This window comes from Homo sapiens, chromosome 15 (assembly GCF_000001405.40).
Source record: "Homo sapiens chromosome 15, GRCh38.p14 Primary Assembly".
Lineage (NCBI taxonomy): Eukaryota > Metazoa > Chordata > Mammalia > Primates > Hominidae > Homo > Homo sapiens.
In genome coordinates, this window is record NC_000015.10 from 101,261,189 (window position 1) to 101,280,533 (window position 19,345).

Sequence of the window (19,345 nt, forward strand, 5' to 3'; positions counted from 1 at the left end):
TGAGACGGAGTCTCCCTCTGTCACCCAGGCTGGAGTGCAGTGGCGCGATCTTGGCTCACTGCAACCTCCTCCTCCAGGGTTCAAGGGATTCTCCTGTTTCAGCCTCCTGAGTAGCTGGGACTACAGGCGCCCGCCACCATGCCCAGCTAATTTTTGTACCTTTAGTAGAAATGGGGTTTCGCCATGTTGGCCAGGCTGGTCTCGAACTCCTGACCTCAGGTGATCCACCCACCTCGGCCTCCCAAAGTTTTGGGATTACAGGCGTGAGCCACTGTGCCTGGCCAAGGATTTTTAAAAAACAGTTTTATTGACGTATAATTGATATACGATAAACTGCACATGTGTAAAATGTACAATTTAAGTGTTGACATATACACCTGTGACACCATGTGTGAAAAAACCAACTCATCTGTGTTTTTCCTCTGCTTTCACACCATAACAATCAACACAGAAGGCTTCTGTGATCAAACGTGTTGGGGGTTGTGTTTTCCCCACCAGGAAGCAACCAATCAATTCTGCAGCCAACATCAGCTAGGTGTCCTCCAATTCAATTCTGACACTATCTACCTGGAGATAGCGTCGGATACAGGTTGAGGGCTCAGTGCCCAAGATGGCTCCTGTCCACACTCAGGCACGTATAAGTCTGGGCCTTTGGACCTGGTGACTATGAACTGGGGTTCCCACAACCCCTCTTTGGTTCAGTGAATTTGCTAGAGGGGCTCACAGTACTCAGGGAAACGTTTATGTTTACCAGTTCATTACAAAGGATATTTTGAAGGACACAGATAAACAGCCAGATAAAGAGAGACACAGGGAGAGGTCTGGAAGGGTCCTGAGGACAGGAGCCTCTGTCCTGGTGGAGTTGGGATGCACTACCCTCCTGGCACATGGATGAGGTGTTGTTCAGTTCCTTGTAAGCCTCCAAATGTTCAGCTGTCTGAAATCTCCCCACATCCAGTCCTCTTGGGTTTTTATGGGAGCTTCATTACATAGGTATGATTGACTACATCACTGGCCATTGGTGATCAACTCAACCTTCAGCCCCTCTCCCCTCCCTGAGGTTGGGGAATGGGGCTGAAAGTCCCAACCCTCTAATCCTGCCTTGGTCTTTCCGGTACCAGCCCCATCCCGAAGCTCCTAGGGAGCTACCAGCCACCAGTCAACTCATTAGTGTAGGAGAGGACATCACTTGAAGAGTCTGAGGATTTTAGGAGTTGTATCCCAGCAAACAGAGTTGAAAACCAAATATATGTTTCACAGTATCACAGACACCATCACCACCAAGACAGCAGACTTGTCTATTACCCTGAAAAGTTTTCTTGAACCACCTTTTCCTCCTTCCCTCCCTGTTCCCCACCTCCACCTCCAGCTCAGGCAACCACTGATCTGCTCCATCACTATAGATTAATGAGCGTTTTCTAGATTTTTGTAGAAATGGAATCATATGGTATGTAGTGGTTTTTTGTTGTTGTTTTGGCCTGGCTTCTTTCACATGGTGTAACTATTTTGAAATCCATCCACGTGGCATGCATCAATAGTTCATTCCATTTGGTTGCTGAATAGCGTTCCTTTCTATGAACATACCACGATTTAGCCATCCATTCATTGGGCTACTACATGTAAAGTAGCTGGGAACATTCCTGTGCAAGTCTTGGTATGGACAGATGCTTTTATTTCCCTTAGGTATTTATGGATGGAATGGCTGGATCATATGGTAGGTGTAATGTCACTTTTTATGGTACTGCCAAACTGTTTTCCATTTTCTGTTGCTACCAGGAGTGTGTGTGTTCCAGTTCATCCACATCCTCATTAACATTTGGAATAGTCTTTCTAATTTTAGCTCTTTTTTTTTTGGCAGAGTGTCACTCTGTCATTCAGGCTGGAGTCAGTGGCATGATCTCAGCTCACTGCAACCTCCACCTCTCCGGTTCAAGCAATTCTCATGCCTCAGCCTCCAAAGTGGATTACAGGTGGGCACCACCACACCCAGCTAATTTTTTTTTTCTTTTTAGTAGAGATGGGGTTTTGCCATGTTGGACAGGCTGGTCTCAAACTCCTGACCTCAAGTGATCCGCCAACCTCAGCATCCCAAAGTGCTGGGATTACAGGCGTGAGCCACCACTGCGCCCAGCCTAGCCTTTCCAATAAGTGTGTAGTGGTATCTCATTGTGGTTTTTAATTTGCATTTTCCTAATGACTAACAATGTGGTCTTGGGAGACATACTCTCAAAATGGGACTGAGGAGAGGATCGCTCAGCTATTTAAGGAATGAGCAACAGCACTCTGGTACTTACTCAATGGCAGGCAGGGGCATCATGGGCATTCAAAGTACCCATGGCCATGGCCGAGGAAAGTGGACGAGAGCAGAGCGAGGCAGTGGAGGCCAAATGGCTGTGAAGCAGGCACAATGGCAACGAGGATGACTATGAAGAAGGTGGGGTCACCTGGCTGCTTTGGATGGGCCTTGAGTGTGTACAGGGAAAAGGACAAGTTAAAGTTACTTAGGATCCAATGCAGAACACAGATGAAAATTGAGGTCGCGAGTTCAAGACCAGCCGAGCCAACATGGTGAGACCCTGTCTCTACTAAAAATACAAAAATCAGCTGGACGTGGTGGCATGTGCCTATAGTCCCAGCCTCCCAACTGGGAGGCTGAGGCAGGAGAATCGCTTGTACCCAGGAGACAGAGGTTGTAGTGAGCTGAGAACCCACCATTGCACTCTGGCCTGGGTGACAGAGCGAAACTCTGTCTCAAATAAGTAAATAAATAAATAGAAAATAAGAGAAGAGACACAGACACTGAAAGGTGATCACGTGAAGCCCATGGCAGAGATGAGTGATGCAGCCATAAGCCAAGGAAAGCCTGGGGCCACCAGAAGCTGAAAGAGGCAAGGAAGGATCCTCCCGTCGAGGCCAGGAGGGAGCATGGCCCTGCCGACACCTTAAGTTTGGCCTCAGAAACTGGGAGAAGCAATGCCTGTAGTTAGAAGCTGCCCAGTCTGTGGTCATTTGTTCCAGCAGCCACAGGAAGTGAATGCAGTGAGTTCTAGCCCTGCTGGAATTCCCCCATCCCCTGTAGTTGTAGGAGAGAAATGGCTGAAGCCCAGCCCAGGCCTGGCTTTAAGGTCTGCAGAGCAGCATTGCCAATGAAATGCTGACCCCTGTCAGGTCCCTAATGCTAAGGGCACTGATGGGAAAGAAGCGGGACCCTGAAATATGGGTCGACACAGAGGAGGCTGAGAATTGAGAATGCTGAGCCTCCCAATCCCTTCATCTCAGCCCCCTGCCTGCTTCCTCCTGCAGAAACAGCTTTCACTTAAGGTACTGGGACAGTTGTCTCTCCAGCTGCTGCTGATCCTGCAGGCTTCACTCTCATCACCCCTCACAACCTCCAGGCAATGGAGAGTCTGATTCCAGAAAATCCCAGATCGAAAAGTACAAGGCTCACTGTACACAGCCATCACTGAAAATGTAGTATGACTTCATCCATCCCTGTGGCAGGAGTCTGGGAAGAATCATGGCCACGGACTCCAAGGGTGTCAGGAGGAGGAGAATGGATCCTAAGGGTGTCAGGAGGAGGAGAATGGATCCTAAGGCTTGCTGGAGTCCAACTTCAGGAAAAGGAATTCAGGGTTTACTGTGCTGGCCGGAGCACTTGGGGTGGTGTTCGTATCCATTGAGAAAGTTACCTGTGCCTGCAGTCAAGGTGGCCTAGGGACAGCACCCCAGGAGAGGGCCTGAACGGACTGCATAGAAGGGCTCCCTGCATGCATACAGGTCAGCCTCCTGGGGCAGGAACCGGGTGGAGAGTAGATGTGGAGGGGCAAACAGACCTCATCCAGCACGGCGCAATCCCACTGCCCTCCAGCCGGCCTTCCTCTCATGCTGCTCAGGAGTCCTGGTTCTCCCACCAGCACTTGCTTTATGCTCTGATGAAGGAATGTCCTCTGGACCATCTCTGGGGAGCATTGTTGGGGAGGGGTGCTGAGCAAGCTACACGTGGTACATCCATGCAACTTGCGTGTGCCCTGAGCCTTGGGACCATATCTCGTCACATGCGAGGGAAATTCCGAGAGTTGAACTGTGCTTGCCAAAGGCCACTGTTTTCATTTCCTGTGGCTGTTAGAACAAATGACCACAAACTGGGTGGCTTATAATTACAGGCATTGCTTCTCTCACAGTTTCTGAGGCCAAACTTAAGGTGTCAGCAGGGCCATGCTCCCTCCTGGCCTTGACGGGAGAATCCTTCCTTGCTTCTTTCAGCTTCTGGGGGCCCCAGGCTTTCCTTGGCTTGCGGCTGTGGCTGCGTCACTCCAGTCTCTGCCGTGGGCTTCACGTGGTCACCTTCTTTCAGTGTCTGTGTCTCTTTGATTTATTTATTTAGAGTCTCGTTTTGTCACCCAGGCTGAACAGAGTGCAGTGGTGGGATCTCGGCTCACTGCAACCTCTGCCTCCTGGGTTCAAGCGATTCTCCTGCCTCAGCTTCCCAGTGGGGAGGCTGGGATTACAGGTGCACGCCACCATGTCCGACTAATTTTTGTATTTTTAGTAGAGATGGGGTCTCGCCATGTTGGCCAGGCTGGTCTTGAACTCCTGACTTCAAGTGATCTGCCCACGTCGGCCTCCCAAAGTGCTGGGATGACAGGCTTGAGCCACCACGCCCGGCCTCTTCTCTTCTAAGGACACCAATTGTTACGAGCTGAATTGTCCCCCCTAAAATTTATATGTTGGAGCCTTAACCCTCAGTACTCCAGAATGTGACTATATTTGGTGACAGTCTTTAAAGAAGTAATTAAGAAGAGGCCATCAGAGTGGGCCCTAGTCTGGTATGACCGATGTACTTGTAAGAAGAGATTAGGACACAGAGAGGCAGGAGGGGTAACTGTGACAAAGAAAAGAGCCTGTGACCAGGCAGCAGGAGGGTGGCCATCTGCAAGCCAAGAATTGAGGCCTTGGAGGAGAGTCCTGCAGCACCTCCTCCAACTTCCAGCCTCCAGAACTGTGAGGGAATAAACGTCTGTGGTTGAAGCCACCCAGTCTGTGGCATTTTGTTACGGCAGCCCTAGCCAATGATACAGTAATCACATTGGCTCAGGGCCCACCCTCTGCGCAGATCTCATCTTAACTGGGTTACATCTGCTGAGATTCTATTTCCAAATAAGGGCATATTCACAGATACTGGGGGCAGGACCTCAGCACATTTTGGGGGACACAACTCAACCCCTAACAGTCACCTTGAGTGCAGGCATCGGTTAATGAGCTTAGCAGATATTAAAGCCGGGCGCAGTGGCTCATGCCTGTAATCCCAGCACTTTGGGAGGCCGAGGCGGGAGGATCACTGAGGTCAGAAGTTTGAGACCGCCCTGGCCAAGAAGGTGAAACCCTGTCTCTACTAAAAATACAAAAATTAGCCGGGCGTGGTGGTGTGTGCCTGTAATCCCAGGTACTCAAGAGGCTGAGGCAGGAGAGTGGCTTGAACCCAGGAGGCGGAGGTTGCAGTGAGCCGAGACCGCGCCACTGCACTCAGCTTGGGTCACAGAGTGAGACTCCATCTCAAAAAAAAAAAAACCAAAAAAAGCAACAAAAAGAGATATTAATGCCATCCCCAGAGGCTCATGCCTTCAGCTGGGCTCAGCCAATGGGAGGCACAGGCAGAAAGACTGGTGGGTGGGAGGAGACTAAGGTCATTTATCGTGGTCCTTCTCACTGGGTCACTGAGAGCTGGCGTCTCTATTGAAGGCTGGTCTCTGTCGGGCGGCCCTCCCCCCAGGTCCTGGTAACTGCTCTCAGGTTTGGGGGCATTAAAGGTTCCCCGATGTTGCTAGCCACCCGGATTGTATCATGCCTAACCCTGTCTGCACCCTGGCAAACAGCTCGTTTACTGAACGCTCCTCAGCCAGCCAATTTGAGATGCCATTTCCGGCTGATACAGGCCATGTCCTAGGCTCTTTTGGGATTCAGGTGGAGTGTATTGGTCAGAACAGGAGTCTTCACATTTGCCGGGTAACTCTCTTGCTTATAAATTTTGGGGATGATCCTCAAAGATCAAGTTGGGGCAGTTTTGATCCAGATGGGGAGAAGTTTCACAGACGCAAAGATGTATACTAAGGCTGTGTGACCCGGAAGACTCCCTTCTACTGCAAATGGCCAGTTTCTTCCCCTCCCTGCATCTACGCCTTTGCAATGTGACTCGACAGCTCCTCCCACCGAGAGGCTGTGCCTTCCTCCAGCCTTTGCGTTGGGACTGGCCTTATGAATTGCTTTGACCCGTGGGAAGGTAGCAGTGTGGAGCAAGCAGCAGCTTGAAAAACTTGGGCACACAGTCCTTGGAAATGAACAAATCCGGGTTAGCCGCAGATGCAGAAACACATGGGCCAGTCGCCTGTCGCCCAGCTTAGCGCCAGCCAGCGGGCAGATGTGGGGGAGGCCACTGGGCCCTGCCAGCCGCCAGCTGACCACAAGCATGAGTGCAGAGCCAGCCCAGCAGAATCTTCGGGATAAATGGTTGTTTGAAGTCATTATGTTCAGGGCAGTCCAGATGCTGGAAACACTGAGCTGACCATCTTCCAAATCAGAGGTCACCCTGGCAAGCTCACTTCTCTTGCATTTTTTCATGATGAGCCCTTTTTATTACAGCGTTTGCCATTGTTTGGGTGATGATGAAGAGAAGCCTGAAGTGAGCTGAGTGGAGGCTTGGAATAGCTACTTCAAAGAGAAGCGGGCTTAACCTGTATCAACATCTGCAGACGTGCTCTCCTGAAGCTGGTCTGGTGGCACTGTATGACCCCCTCTCAGGATGCTGAAGGCAGCAAGGGGCCAGTGAAGGTCCCTCAGAACCTGCAAAGGACCACGTAGACCCCAAGACGGACATAGCTACTCAGGAGTGTTAGGAGCTGTACTAATACTGAACACTAGAGTCTCCTGGTTTGTGGTTGTTATGGATTGAATGTATGTGTCCCCCCACAAATTAGCATTTGAAATCCTCACCCCCAAGGTGATGGTATTGGGGGGGTGCCTTCGGAGGTTAACTAGGTCATGATGGAATTAGTACACCTATAATGGGGGCCCCAGAGCTCTCTCCACCACGTGAAGACACAACGAAAAGTTGGCCATCTGCAGCCTGGAAGAAGGCCTCACCAGAACCCGGCCATGCCTGCACCCTGATCCTGGACTTCCAGCCTCCAGAAACAAATGCCTGGTGTTTATAAACCACCCAATCTGTGGTACTATTACGGCAGCTAAGACAGAGGAAAAGGTTGTTTCATCTCTAAATTATTTCCTACAACTTCCAACCCCTACTTCCACAGAAGTGGAATCTGTAGCTACAGAATAAACCTAAGTTAGGTCTTCGTAAGTCACATCATTTCTTACTGGAATGTGTATTTCCCATCTATGGGCCTTCATCAGCTATCGTCATCTACTTCTGTGGCCATGCAGTGCTCGTCTTCCCCCACAGATGTCAAGGCCCTCAGGGCGGGGCCTGTGTTTACACTGTCCACAGCATCCTCGGCACCCCCAGGCCCATTCTGAGCCTTTAGTTCCCCAGAGCCCATAATTTTCTGTGAGTTCTTCGAAACAGAGCATTTGAATTGGGGTATGAGACACTGATATTTTATCATAAGCCACGATTACCCGTCTACAGAATCACTAGAAGATGCGTTTGCACATATGTGGTATCCACAATGCCACTTTCGCCACGTGACATTAGTGATGGTTTCCTTCTTGCCTTTTCTAACTCCATGAGGTGGGCGCTTATGTCAGGGCTTGTTCTAGTTGCCGGGGATGCACCCACACACCAAAGAGACCACTCCTTTTGTCTTGGAGTGAAGAAAAGACACAATTACAACGAAATGTGACAGTTGTGCCAGAGGAAGACTGGATGCTCCGAGCACACACAGCATTCACTGCAACCTGACTTCTTCCCCTTAGTCAGGGGAGAAAGGGGGAGACACACTGTGTCAAATGTGGCCAAGAGAACAGGTCTAAAGACAGCTCTGGGCACCCCAGGGGTTTCAGGAAGGTGAGAAAAAGCAGCAAAAGAGAACAAGGAGTGGCCAGAAACGTAGGAGAAAGCCAGGCAAACTCGGTGTTTTGGAAGCCAAGGGAGGTGTTTCTTCAGGAGTGCTCAAGGACCGCAAAGGATGCTAACTTCAGGCGAGGACCGAGGCGACCCATCACCCCCTGCCACACGTGACCTGAAGAGCAGCTTCAGCAGAATGGATTTAACAGCAAATGCAGGAAGAGAAATTAGGGAACACAGAACACTTTTTCAAGACTAGAGACCATGGCACAACTGGCAAAGGAGAGAGGTGTGGACTGTCACGGGGGCTAAGATCCAGTGTGTAGAGTGTTCCAGAAGGGAGGGCTGCGAGGAGGGGCATGTAGGAAATGTGCTGTCAAGTCAAATACAGCGAGACCAAAATTCCACTGGCACGAGAAATGGGATGAACTCAGTAAGGGCACCTTCCACATCGCTAAGGAGTAGGGTGAGAAACGCCCACCCAGAGGCACCCAGGGCTGCGCATTTGACGGGGCCTTGCTCTTTCCAAGAAGAGACAGACTTGGCATGTTACCTATCTGAAGGGGGCGCAGAGTGGAGTCCCTGAGGAGAGGATGGGATCCAGGCGGTGATGGGATCCAAACGTGGTCGTTCAAGTCTTTTCTCCTCAAACATTTAGCCAAGGGCACAACTCTATCTCCTAAGCATTCCAATTGAAGACTCTTGTGTGTTCTGCCCCACAATTTACTCATGTTGCTCCATGATTGGGATAGGGTGCGTCACACATTATCTAAAACTTCACAGCTCCCAGTGTCTGTCCCAAACTCCTGCCAACTGCCAGGACACACCGCGAGCCCCACAGCAGCCTCTGCTGGTGGACAAGGTGAGCACATGGCCTAGGTTTGAAGCATGGTTTTTATGGCTCTGGCCGTCCCTTCTTCCCCAGGGGCCTCAGCTTTTGGCATTTGCACCTCTGCCCCCAATTTCTCATTTTTTCAAGAAAGGTCCAAGACCTGCTTTCCCTGGCAAGCTCAGTCCACCTTTCTGAAATGCTTAATGCCCTAGATCTGTAATGTGATTTTCACTGTATTATTACTTCACATAACTTTTTTTTTTTTTTTTTTTTTGGAGATGGAGTTTTGCTCTTGTTGCCCAGGGTGGAGTGCAATGGCACGATCTTGGCTCATCACAACCTCCACCTCCACCTCCCACGTTCAAGCAATTCTCCTGCCTCAGCCTCCCAAGGAGCTGGGATTACAGGCATATGCCATCATGCCCAGCTAATTTTTTGTATTTTTAGTAGAGACAGGGTTTTACCATATTAGTCAGGCTGGTCTCGAACTCCTGACCTCAGGTGATCCACCCATCTTGGCTGGTGGGATTACAGGCGTGAGCCACTGTGCCTGGCCACATAACTGTTTCATTAGCTGCAAGAAGCTTCCCACACCTTGATGACTTAAGGCCTTTGGCTAATATGAACACAAGGATGAAGTAGACTACAGCGAGTAGCGTTGTGGACCAGTTACTAAGCCCATCTAAGCTTCAGTTTCTGAAAACCAAGGTTAGTAACATACCCGTTTCATAGGATTCTAGGGGGATCAAACAGAAATGGACACTCCTGCCACGTGGTAAGTGCTCTTCAAATGCTATTACACAACGCAAGTTTCCCCTCCCCTCCATTATCTCCTAATCATTCTCCCTGACACCCTCCTTCCACCCCTACCAAAAGGTGCTAGATGCAAGGGGGGCATGCAGAATTCAAGCACTGTTTCTCCCCATGGAAAAAAATCAGGTTTCAAGGTAGTCAGTCACATCTAATAGTGTACTTAAACATACCCCTCTACTTTTTGTCGTTTATTTCTATTTATAACAAACTCTTGTGTTGAGGGCTCTTGATGGACGGCAGCAAGGGAGCTGCTCTGCTGCATATGAAACCCCGACCCAGAGCCCCTCTACTCATGCGATGTGTAGTTGACAGCCACTTCACAAACATTTTCAGCTACAGAAAATATATTCAAGGAAGAATGTTAAAAAGTTTCCTTATAACCTACAAGGGGTTCTCTCTAGATGTAAACAAATCTGGATGAAATATTTTAATCCAAGTATACCATTTCCCACGTCGTAAATCTTCTGGGCTGGTGGGAGCCAATCCAGTTACACACTGGAAGGGGAGTGAGGGTCCCAGGGCTTCCCCACACCTCACAAGGCCCACCCTTGTTTCCACTGACCCTCTCTTTGACCTGAAACCCCCAATTGCCTCCACAGGCAAAACAAAACTCAAATCTCTCTAGACTCAAAGACTTAAGACTATGCCAACCTATTTGTTTGTAATTACACTGCTCAAGGCTCCTGTTTCCTCTCCTTCAGCCATTCTCCAGAGCGCTCCTCAAGAGATTTTAAGTCTCTCACAGCCAGACTGTATTTCCCTTGGTCAAGAAGCAACCACGGAATATTCTACCTGCAGGAGATAACAAATGTTGACTAATTTATGTATGAGACCATTCTATAGTACTTTTGCAGCGAATTACCCCCTATTCTGAAGGTTAATGTTTTTCCTTCTGATGATCTAGACGGGGTCCACACACTACAGCATTCAGCCCAAATCCAGCCCATGAGCAGAGAATCTTTTTTAAAAACAATCCTTTAAAAATATAAAAACCTAAGACTATGTGACAGAGATCATATGTGGCCTGTAAAGTCTAAAATATTTACTGTTTGGCTCTTTATCCAAAACTGCTGATAGTGCCTCTGGACAAGAGCGTAAAAGATGAGTCATGGCGTAAGGGAATAACTGAGAGGTCACGTAGAAACCTGGTCAGCCTATGAGGAACCTTGAGGCACGATGTTTCTTTATCCCAGTAATTCGGCAACTCGACTCCAAGCACCCAATTTTGTGGATGAACCCCAAGGAGTCTGTCAACTTTCAAAATCACGGCAGCTGTCTGCCACTTGCCAGACTTATTTTGGGTGAGTAATAATAAATAGAGAAATAAGTAATAGTTAGAGGTTGTAATAAAAAGCTATTTAATGTTTGATAGACAAATTGAAGTCCATAAATCTCCTTGAATAAAGATGCTAAAAATGTTATTCTTGTTTTTTAAATAGTTTCGTTTTTACAAAGTTCTGTACATAAAAATAAATATACAGAAACAAACCCCATCAACTGTCCACATCAGTAATCCTCACTGGTGGGCTCACCATTGATAAGGAAGACATCATTCAACGCAACCTGTCACAGAGACTGTCCTAGCAGCAAGGATTTCTAACCTCAAAAGAACATTACTAGGCCTCTTTTATCAAGATTGCTAATCATCTAGAGGCCTTTACCTACCAACTAGCAATTAACCATGAAATCAATGAATGCAATCACTGTCTCCAAGTAGAATGTGACCAATGACCTCATGCCTAGAGGCAACATCTATACCTTTTGCTGACTGGAGCCCTGACATATGCAGGTGTAGTTAGGAACAGAAATCAACCCCACCTCCCCTTGGCTAGTCACTGTGAAAAGCGTGCGTAAGGCAATTGAATCGAGGGTTAAGGGTTCATCTTGCTAATGTCAAAAGTGACACTAACAAGATTCTTAGCCTCATCCGCCAGATGACGGGCCTCTGCGTCCAGGTCTCCAGGAGCAAGCTCCGCCTCCTTCACCAGACAACGGGTTATAACCTGGGAGGACAGAAAAGCAGCACAACAGTATTGATAAAAATCTGAAAATCTGGGAACATTGTATATCCACAATAAAATTATGAGAGTGACACGCAAAGCACTGCAAAGATACAGATCCTAAGGGACATTTAAAAAAACCTTTTAGCTATGTGAAAAAAAAAAAAACCTTTATATTGTGATTGCCATTTGAACTGATTGTCTGGTGGGGAAAAAAGTCATTCAGCTTCTTTGTCCCAACCTCCGAAACACATGCAAAAGGGTCACCAAAAAACTCTCTCAAGAGGGCCTGATTTAAGTATATGAATCCTCCTATCACAGTGCTTACTAAAACTCATACATTCAAATAAGGGCTGTTCACGCTACAGAAAACAGATTAAAAAAAATCAAGAGTCAAACTTGTCACTTCTACCAGTCAGAACGGGGTCTTCTGTATCCTTCCCTACCCCCAACCACCCCACTCCCTCATGAGCTTCCCAAAGTCAGTGCACAACTGGTAACCTGGTTGAGTGCTAAGGTTCTAGGGCCACCCAGAACTTAAATGTTACTTTTACTCCTTACTTATAGTGGAATCTTTGGGCAATTAAACACTGTGCCTCAGTTTCCTTATTTGTAAAGCCAGGCTAGTCAAAAGTCCCAGCTCAGAAATGCTGGGGATGCTGAAAGAGGCCGTGCAGGCAAGCACACCCTGCATTCCATCTTCTACGATTTCCATTCCTCTCCTAAATATCACCTCTATGTGTCTAAAAATAAGCTTCCGGCAGGACCATTTAAAAATAGCATTTTCTTTCCAGATGCATCACCTTCTCTACAGCAAGCCAGGTTTAGTCTTCTGACACAAAGGGGATTACAGCTCAGCGTTTAAGGTCAGCCAAGTCTGTGGCCCTGCTGCCTTGGAGCCCATGCCCCAGTCTTTCCTCAGTCCTCAAAGACACCATCAGGGCCTCTGCGGTGCCCCTCTCCTCCTATGGAGGATACAAAATCTTCCGCCTTGGTTCCTACAGTGTTCTAGTGTGTTTGTTCTTTCCTTCCTCAGCAGTAACTTGCAACTCTTAGCCAGAATCACCAAGGATTGCTTATTTTCGTTTGTGAGTCCCATCTTCCCAGATTTGAAATTCTCAGGGATGGGATGAAGACAGACTGCTGTGGCATCATCCAGAGTCCCCGGGGCAGTGCTGCACACAGGAAGCAGCTTTGGATGAGCATCTGTCTGCTACTCCTTGTTATTTGCAAGAAACAAGGTGGTCCCAGCCAGAAAGACCAAAACCACTGTGTTCCAGCTCCTTGACACTCATCTGAAGATTGGCAGACAATTCCTCACCCTACTTAGCTCTCCCTCTACGGGGCTGCAGAAGGATCAAGTTAGAATACTATAAGTACAATCCTTCTAAGTACTTAGTGAGGACCTAGGAGGTGATTTGCATCTGTTTCCTTTATTGAATCTTCACAATCCTAAGGAATTAGTCTTAATTTATGGACAAAGAAACAAACAATCTTGTTCCTAAAAGGTAACTATATCCTGTAAGTGTTGAAAATCTGTTAACATTTGACATCAGTGGTGCTTACCTCCTCCCCGCAAAGGCTTTCTGTCCGATTTCCGTTTCAGGACAGATGAAGTGGAAGGCCCAGGACTGTCTTCCTCCTGTTTGAACACACACAGTAGTGTAAGAAGCAATTAAAACATTCTACTTGGCAATCTTCATCTACCGCATGCCAGCCGGCCGAGGTCTCCAGTCACCTGGGGCTTCTTTGCATTTCCTTTGTAACTTTTTCCTTCTTGCATGCTGTCCCACATTTCAATCTTCTGTCTCCTTTTTTCTTCTTCAAGCTGAGAAACAATCACATTTTACAGAAAGAATTCAGAAGCTGCCATTTCTCTCAAAGACAAAGCTAACTCTGATAATTCTTAATTTAAATGTCTTTCAGAACAAACTTCACCCTCGTTTTCTTTAGTTAATAAAACTGTTGTGATCTGGTAGTGTGAGTTTAACTCACATAGAGCAGCTTTGGTTTTTGTACACTATTAAAGAAAGCAAAATGTTTCATGAAAAAGATTACTGACTCCATTCTTCTGAAACTCACTCCTGTCAGGACATTTTTGGTAATGGGGAAGACACAGGCACATGCACACACACACTCACATGCTCCCTGCTCCAGCCTGTCCCTCCTTTTGTGCTCTGGACCTTTCATGGTAATATATTCACACATCTAGTGTTCCCTAACAATCGTGTATTCTTCTTGATATCACCAATACTTACATGGTAGGAACTGAAATGCTTATTGAATCTAATGGGATAGGACCTGGTCCTAGAAGCTTATAGACAACACAGACACAGGCATCGTTAGCCACTAAACCTCAGACAATTTCTATGCACACATTCAAACTGAAACCAGTTCATACTTGTTTCAGTTTTTCCTTATGCTTTTCAACTTGCGCATTTAGTTCTTCTTGCATTTTCAGTCGAGCAGCTGCTAAAGCTTCTTGTCGTTTAACAACAACATCAGGTTCTAAAATGTCAGAAAAAAATGGAGATAAAGCACTGTGTACAATATAAAATAGAAACTTTTGAGTGTCCATATTATTAAAAGTATAAAGAGGTATGGATATCAGACAATGAAACAACATATTTTTACATAAGTACTCCTAACCCCTCTGCATACATTTTACTGCTTCAGGGGGCAGGGGTCTGTTGCTGAGCCACGGATTTTAGCCCGAAATATCTACATCACCAGAAATCTGTTAGAAATGCCAATTTCTGAGTTCCCCTGAGCAATTCCGATTCATAAAGCCTGGGATAGTGGCCACACAGAGCACATCTTGGATACCTCAGTGACACCCACAGTCTCTAGGCTGACTAGAATCCTGGAAGACTACCAAGGAAATATAAAGTTTTCTAAATCATTATCCATCCCTTAATTAGCGCAGAAGATTCTTAAGTATTTGTTTCTACAGAAAAGAAAAATCCTTCCAAATAGCATTATGAATAGAAATGAACTCATTTCTATTCATAACGTCTACTCATAGAGTCTCGCTCTTTGCAACAAGGCTAGACTCCATCTCATAGAAAAAAAAAAAAAAAAGAAAGAAAAGACAGTCTCACTCTGTTGCCCAGGCTGGAGTGCAGTGGCACAATCTCAGCTCACTGCAATCTCCAGCTCCCAGGTTCAAGCGATTTCTCCTGCCTCAGCCACCCTAATAGCTGGGATTACAGGTGCCCGTCACCACGCCCCACTAATATTTGTATTTTTAGTAGAGACAGGGTTTCACCATGTTGGCCAGGCTGTTCTCGAACCCCTGACCTCAAGTCATCCTCCTGCCTCGGCTTCCCAAAGTGCTGGGATTACAGGTGTGAGCCACCGCGCCCCACCGAGAACCATATACTTCCTACTTTTTTTTTTTTTTTTTTTTTAAAGACAAGGTCTCAATCAATTGCCCAGGCTGGAGTGTAGTGTGGCCCGAGCATAGCCCACTGCAGCTTTGACTCCCTGGACTCAAGTGATTATCCCGCCTCAGCCTCCTGAGCAGCTGGGACTACAGGTGCGTGCCGCCACTCCCGGCTATTTTTTTTTTTTTTAAATAGAGACAGGGTCTTCCTGTGTGGCCCCTCTTACTTTTACTAAGAGACTAACTCTTAATATAAAGGAGGTGCAAAACCACCGCTTTCATTTCGGTTATCAGGCACTAACCCACAGCAGCCGCAGCTCGGTCCAGCTGCCTCTGCCTCAAGGCTCTTAGCCGGGCGGAAAGCTTCTGAAAGACCACGTAGAGAAGGATGCAGCTGAAGACGATGTACCAGCCATAGGTGGCCAGCAGGGAGCCCACTGAAAAGAAAAACAGTTTTCAAAAAACTAAAAATGACACTACTAGTTGACCTTTCCATAAGACTCAACAAACACAAAGTGTAACTCCTGCCCTCAAAGCCTTCATGGTCTAGGCTGAGGAAAAAGCCTCCTAAGTAGATCGTTAAAACACGAACTCAAGAAGTGCGACAATTCAGGGATCACTGAGAAGTGAGACTTCCCAACCATCTGGGGAGTCGGGGGCAGTTAGAGTGTGGAGGGCACAGCAACTGGGTTTTGAAGAATGAAGAGCAACTAATCTGAATCAGGAAGGCAAAGGCCTTTCAGAGCCACATAGAAAGGGGTGACAGCGCGGGGAGTCAGGAGTGTGTATGGGGCTGTGTGGGACGGGTCCCAGAGGCAAACGCCAACGGCCGAGTGACCCCAGTAACTACCACAGGAAGGGCTTGGTTCGCAAAAAAGACTTGCGCAAACAAGGGACAGCCGAGCCGCCCAGGGAAGTGCGGCTCCCGAGAAGCCTCCGCGCAAGGTCCGGGCCTGCTGCCCAAGGTCCGCGTAAGCGCCAACGCCCGACCGTTCCCAGGCCTCCCAGGCTCCGGCGCCCGGTGCAGCGGCGGACGACCCACCCATCATGGCTGCGCGTCGCAAAAGTGGCGGCGCGCGCCCGGCTGCCCCGCAACGACTCACCCGTGGTGTGCAGGAAGCGCAGCCCCTCGGTCTCCAGGGCCGGCCGCGCGGACAGAGACTCCTCTTGGCGTTCCATGACCGCCGCCGCCGCCGCCGCCCAGCCCTGCCGCCGCGCCTCCAGCCGGGCGCTTCCGGTGCGCTCCTACGCACACGTGGCGCGCCCGGACGCGGTCGTGGTCCCGGCCAATCGCAGGCCGACCCCGCCCCGTCGCTGGGCCAAACGCAGGGGGGCGTGGCCGAGGGGCGTGGCGGGGGAGAAATCCCGGCTACGCTCGCCGGGGCCGGGACAGCGCGTGTGGGAACGTTCTGTGCTATCTCTTGGCTTGAGTCGGGGGTGGAGGACGGACCTCGTTCACGGATTTCTTACCGAATTTCTACTTTCTTTTTTTTTTCTAATTGGACACTGAAGCCAAGGAAGTCAGTGGTCGCCCGGAAGCAGGATTTGCACCCACATCCTTGCCCGGGGCACATTGGACAACAGGGCTCAGTTGGTTGACGACTCCCAGCATTTGAGGGTTGCAGCCAACGTCCACCCCAAGTGAAGACACGAAATGTGAGCAGCCTCCTGCTCCTGCTGCTGGTGATACCTTTCAGGCCAAGAAAGTCCCCACCGATCCTCAAGGTTCTTTCTCCAAAATCAAAGCCTTTTAGGAAAGAACGATCATAGTAACTGCTCTAACCTGTGTTGAATTATACTGTATCACCACAAGACACGATCACAGAGTTACTTATAATAGTGTCCTGGCTGTGTTCCTCTGCCTGCAACGCCGTCCCGCACCCTCTTCCACCACTCAAACGTCACCACCTTTATGGTGACCATAACCATCCTATTTGAAATGTGACCTTGGGTTTTTCTGGAGCATTTGAAGTGCACATACCTAGCTGTGTTTCAAAAGAAGGGTTGGGAATTGGGAATAGAACTGAAAAAATAATGAATAGGTGACAACATCCGAGTGCTGCGTCACCACTGTCGCCAGGAGCAGTGTGGGGAAGGCAAACCATGACATGAAGCGTGAACGCAATCAGTGTTTCTTCAATGCAGGTTTGCCAAGAAGTTCCTCAAGGGGGACAGCTGCAGGGATTTGAGCACTGACCTCATCAAGCTTTCCCAGCAGTGTGTTCAGAAAGCAATAAAGGGGACCTGGCATTCATGAGCCATAGCAAAGAGAAGCCTGAAAGCTCTTCTTCCCTGTTGGCCACCTTGAAAATGGACTCCTCAGATGAACCGAGGACTCTGGATGTTATCCATAAAGGCTGTGAAGATAGCTTATCGATTTAATGAGGAATTTTAGGAGGGAGAATTTCCTTCTTCATGTTTGCCTTTCCGTTGTAAAAGGTGATGAACCATCACCACTCTTTGCTTTGCTACAGATGATTTCTCACTTGCTCTGGCATCTTGCAGGAACATTTATGTGCTAAATTGAATGACTTCTATGGAATTAGTTGCAATTCTCAGTCCCAGATTAGCTTTAAATCCGCCTTACATCTAAATACTGATAAACTAGACAGGATGAGCAGGGTTGCCTCAACTATTTTGTTAGGCTGTGAAGGACATTAGGTATACCGTACTGGGGTCATAGTTCATGGAAAAAAATGGTTAGGGCCTCACTTTTCTCTCAGGAAACTCATACCAAAACAGTTTCAATCAATGCTTGGGAGCAGTTTTATTTTTATACAGTAACTTAACAGGATGGTTTAACACAAGAGTTCCCCATCTTGACAAGGTGTCAGATGAAGACTTGAGAGCTTCAAGAATGTTGCAGTGGGCCAGGAGTGGTGGCTCTTGCCTGTAATCCTATTGCACTTTAGGAGGCTGAGGCAGGAGGATCACTTGAGGCCAGGAGTTCAAGACCAGCCTGGGCAACACAGCAAGATCCCATCTCTACAAAAAAATTTGGCCAGGCACGGTGGCTCACGCCTGTAATCCCAGCACTTTGGGAGGCCGAGGTGCATGGATCACCTGAGGTCAGGAGTTCAAGACCAGCCTGGCTAACATGGTGAAACCCTGTCTCTACTAAAAATACAAAAATTAGCCAGGTGTGATGGCGGGCGCCTGTAATCCCAGCTACTAGGGAGGCTGAGGCAGGAGAATCGCTTGAACCTGGGAGGCAGAGGTTGCAGTGAGCTAAGATTGTACCACTGCACTCCACAGCCTGGATGACAGAGCAAGACTGTCTAAAAAAGAAAGAAAAGAAAAGAAAAAAAACCCACAAAACTTAGTTATGGAAGAAGATCCTAAATTGCAAAGATTTGTTGTTGCCGGCTTTCAATCCATGTCAATGAATTAAAGTCAACGTGCACAGTATAAAAATGCCAAAATGTTGCATCTGATTAAATGAAGGGAACGTTTGCTTTATTTGCCTTGTTTAGCTACCTTATCCTGTAATGTCTGTAATCACAAAGATGGAATAAATTGTAACATTTTAGGTTCTATCATTAAAAAAAGGCAACAATCCTTTTCACTCAGGACTTTGCGATATAAAATGGAAACCAGTATTAACTCATGAAAATAATGCACATTCTAAGCATATAGAAAACCAAAGTATCCTTGTAAACTATTGTGAACTATTGTATACATATATACATATAATGCATATATTCCACTAAAATCTAATAGATATTATTTGAATGCATGGATGATGGCTTTTCAGTTCCTAGCACATTGATCTTATGGTCCTATTGATAGAAGTTACTCATCCTAGCCAGGAATTTGTTACCTTTGTCCCTTTAATCAGGTGTTATAACCTCACCTGGCTTGGCTTGTCTAGAACTGGAAAGGTATTTCAACAAACACTTTGCTCAATGTAATTGCTCAGGTATTATTTGCAAAAAGAGGACAAAGGTGGACAGTAACCAGGGCTGCCACCTATCACTGACTGTTGTAGGCTAAATGATTGGCCGAGGCTGAAAGAGTGGCCCTAATTTGTCACTCCTTCTCACAGCCATATCCTTGCTATGGCAAGGTCAAAGGAGTATATTTCCCCATCATCCTTTGACTTTGTACTTGGCGAGGTGGCTTGCTTTGGTTAATATCAAGTGGGCAGAAATAAGTGTGTCAGTTTTGAGTGTAGGTAGGCCTTAAGAAGCTCCTAGTGTTTATTTCTTGTGCCTTTGCCGGGTGAGCTGGCTTATCTGAGACCTGTAAAGAAACCAAGCCACCCCAGTTAATCCAGACCTACAGTGATAAGCAGA

General features: G+C 47.6%; 1 protein-coding gene across 2 annotated transcripts, besides 4 other annotated features; it reads right to left on the reverse strand.

The window, feature by feature from the left end:
- Positions 2,941-3,000: an enhancer, noted in NCBI's record as "active region_10191". NCBI's record gives its function as "activates an Ori minimal core promoter by ATAC-STARR-seq in GM12878 lymphoblastoid cells {active_cell/tissue: GM12878}" and the evidence as "EXISTENCE:reporter gene assay evidence [ECO:0000049][PMID:35858748]".
- Positions 3,576-3,870: a silencer, noted in NCBI's record as "tiled region #1457; K562 Repressive non-DNase unmatched - State 22:ReprW". NCBI's record gives its function as "represses a minimal TATA promoter and a strong SV40 promoter by Sharpr-MPRA in K562 cells {active_cell/tissue: K562}" and the evidence as "EXISTENCE:reporter gene assay evidence [ECO:0000049][PMID:27701403]".
- Positions 5,883-6,417: an enhancer, noted in NCBI's record as "H3K4me1 hESC enhancer chr15:101807276-101807810 (GRCh37/hg19 assembly coordinates)". NCBI's record gives its function as "activates a minimal SCP1, AML or CMV promoter by ChIP-STARR-seq in primed H9 embryonic stem cells {active_cell/tissue: H9 hESC(primed)}" and the evidence as "EXISTENCE:reporter gene assay evidence [ECO:0000049][PMID:30033119]".
- Positions 9,621-16,297, reverse strand: SELENOS (selenoprotein S). Of its 2 annotated transcripts, NM_203472.3 has the most exons (7): positions 16,154-16,297; positions 15,353-15,487; positions 14,067-14,173; positions 13,404-13,493; positions 13,232-13,307; positions 11,576-11,668; positions 9,621-10,457 (listed from the first exon to the last, which is right to left on the reverse strand). In NM_203472.3, exons 1-6 carry the CDS (start codon positions 16,227-16,229, stop codon positions 11,589-11,591), a joined length of 564 nt encoding a protein of 187 aa, NP_982298.2. In that variant the 5' UTR covers positions 16,230-16,297; the 3' UTR covers positions 9,621-10,457; positions 11,576-11,588. The 2 variants fall into 2 exon arrangements, with proteins under 2 accessions (NP_982298.2, NP_060915.2); NM_018445.6 differs by lacking the exon at positions 9,621-10,457 and having other exon boundaries at positions 11,003-11,668.
- Positions 16,173-16,502: a silencer, noted in NCBI's record as "silent region_6888". NCBI's record gives its function as "represses an Ori minimal core promoter by ATAC-STARR-seq in GM12878 lymphoblastoid cells {active_cell/tissue: GM12878}" and the evidence as "EXISTENCE:reporter gene assay evidence [ECO:0000049][PMID:35858748]".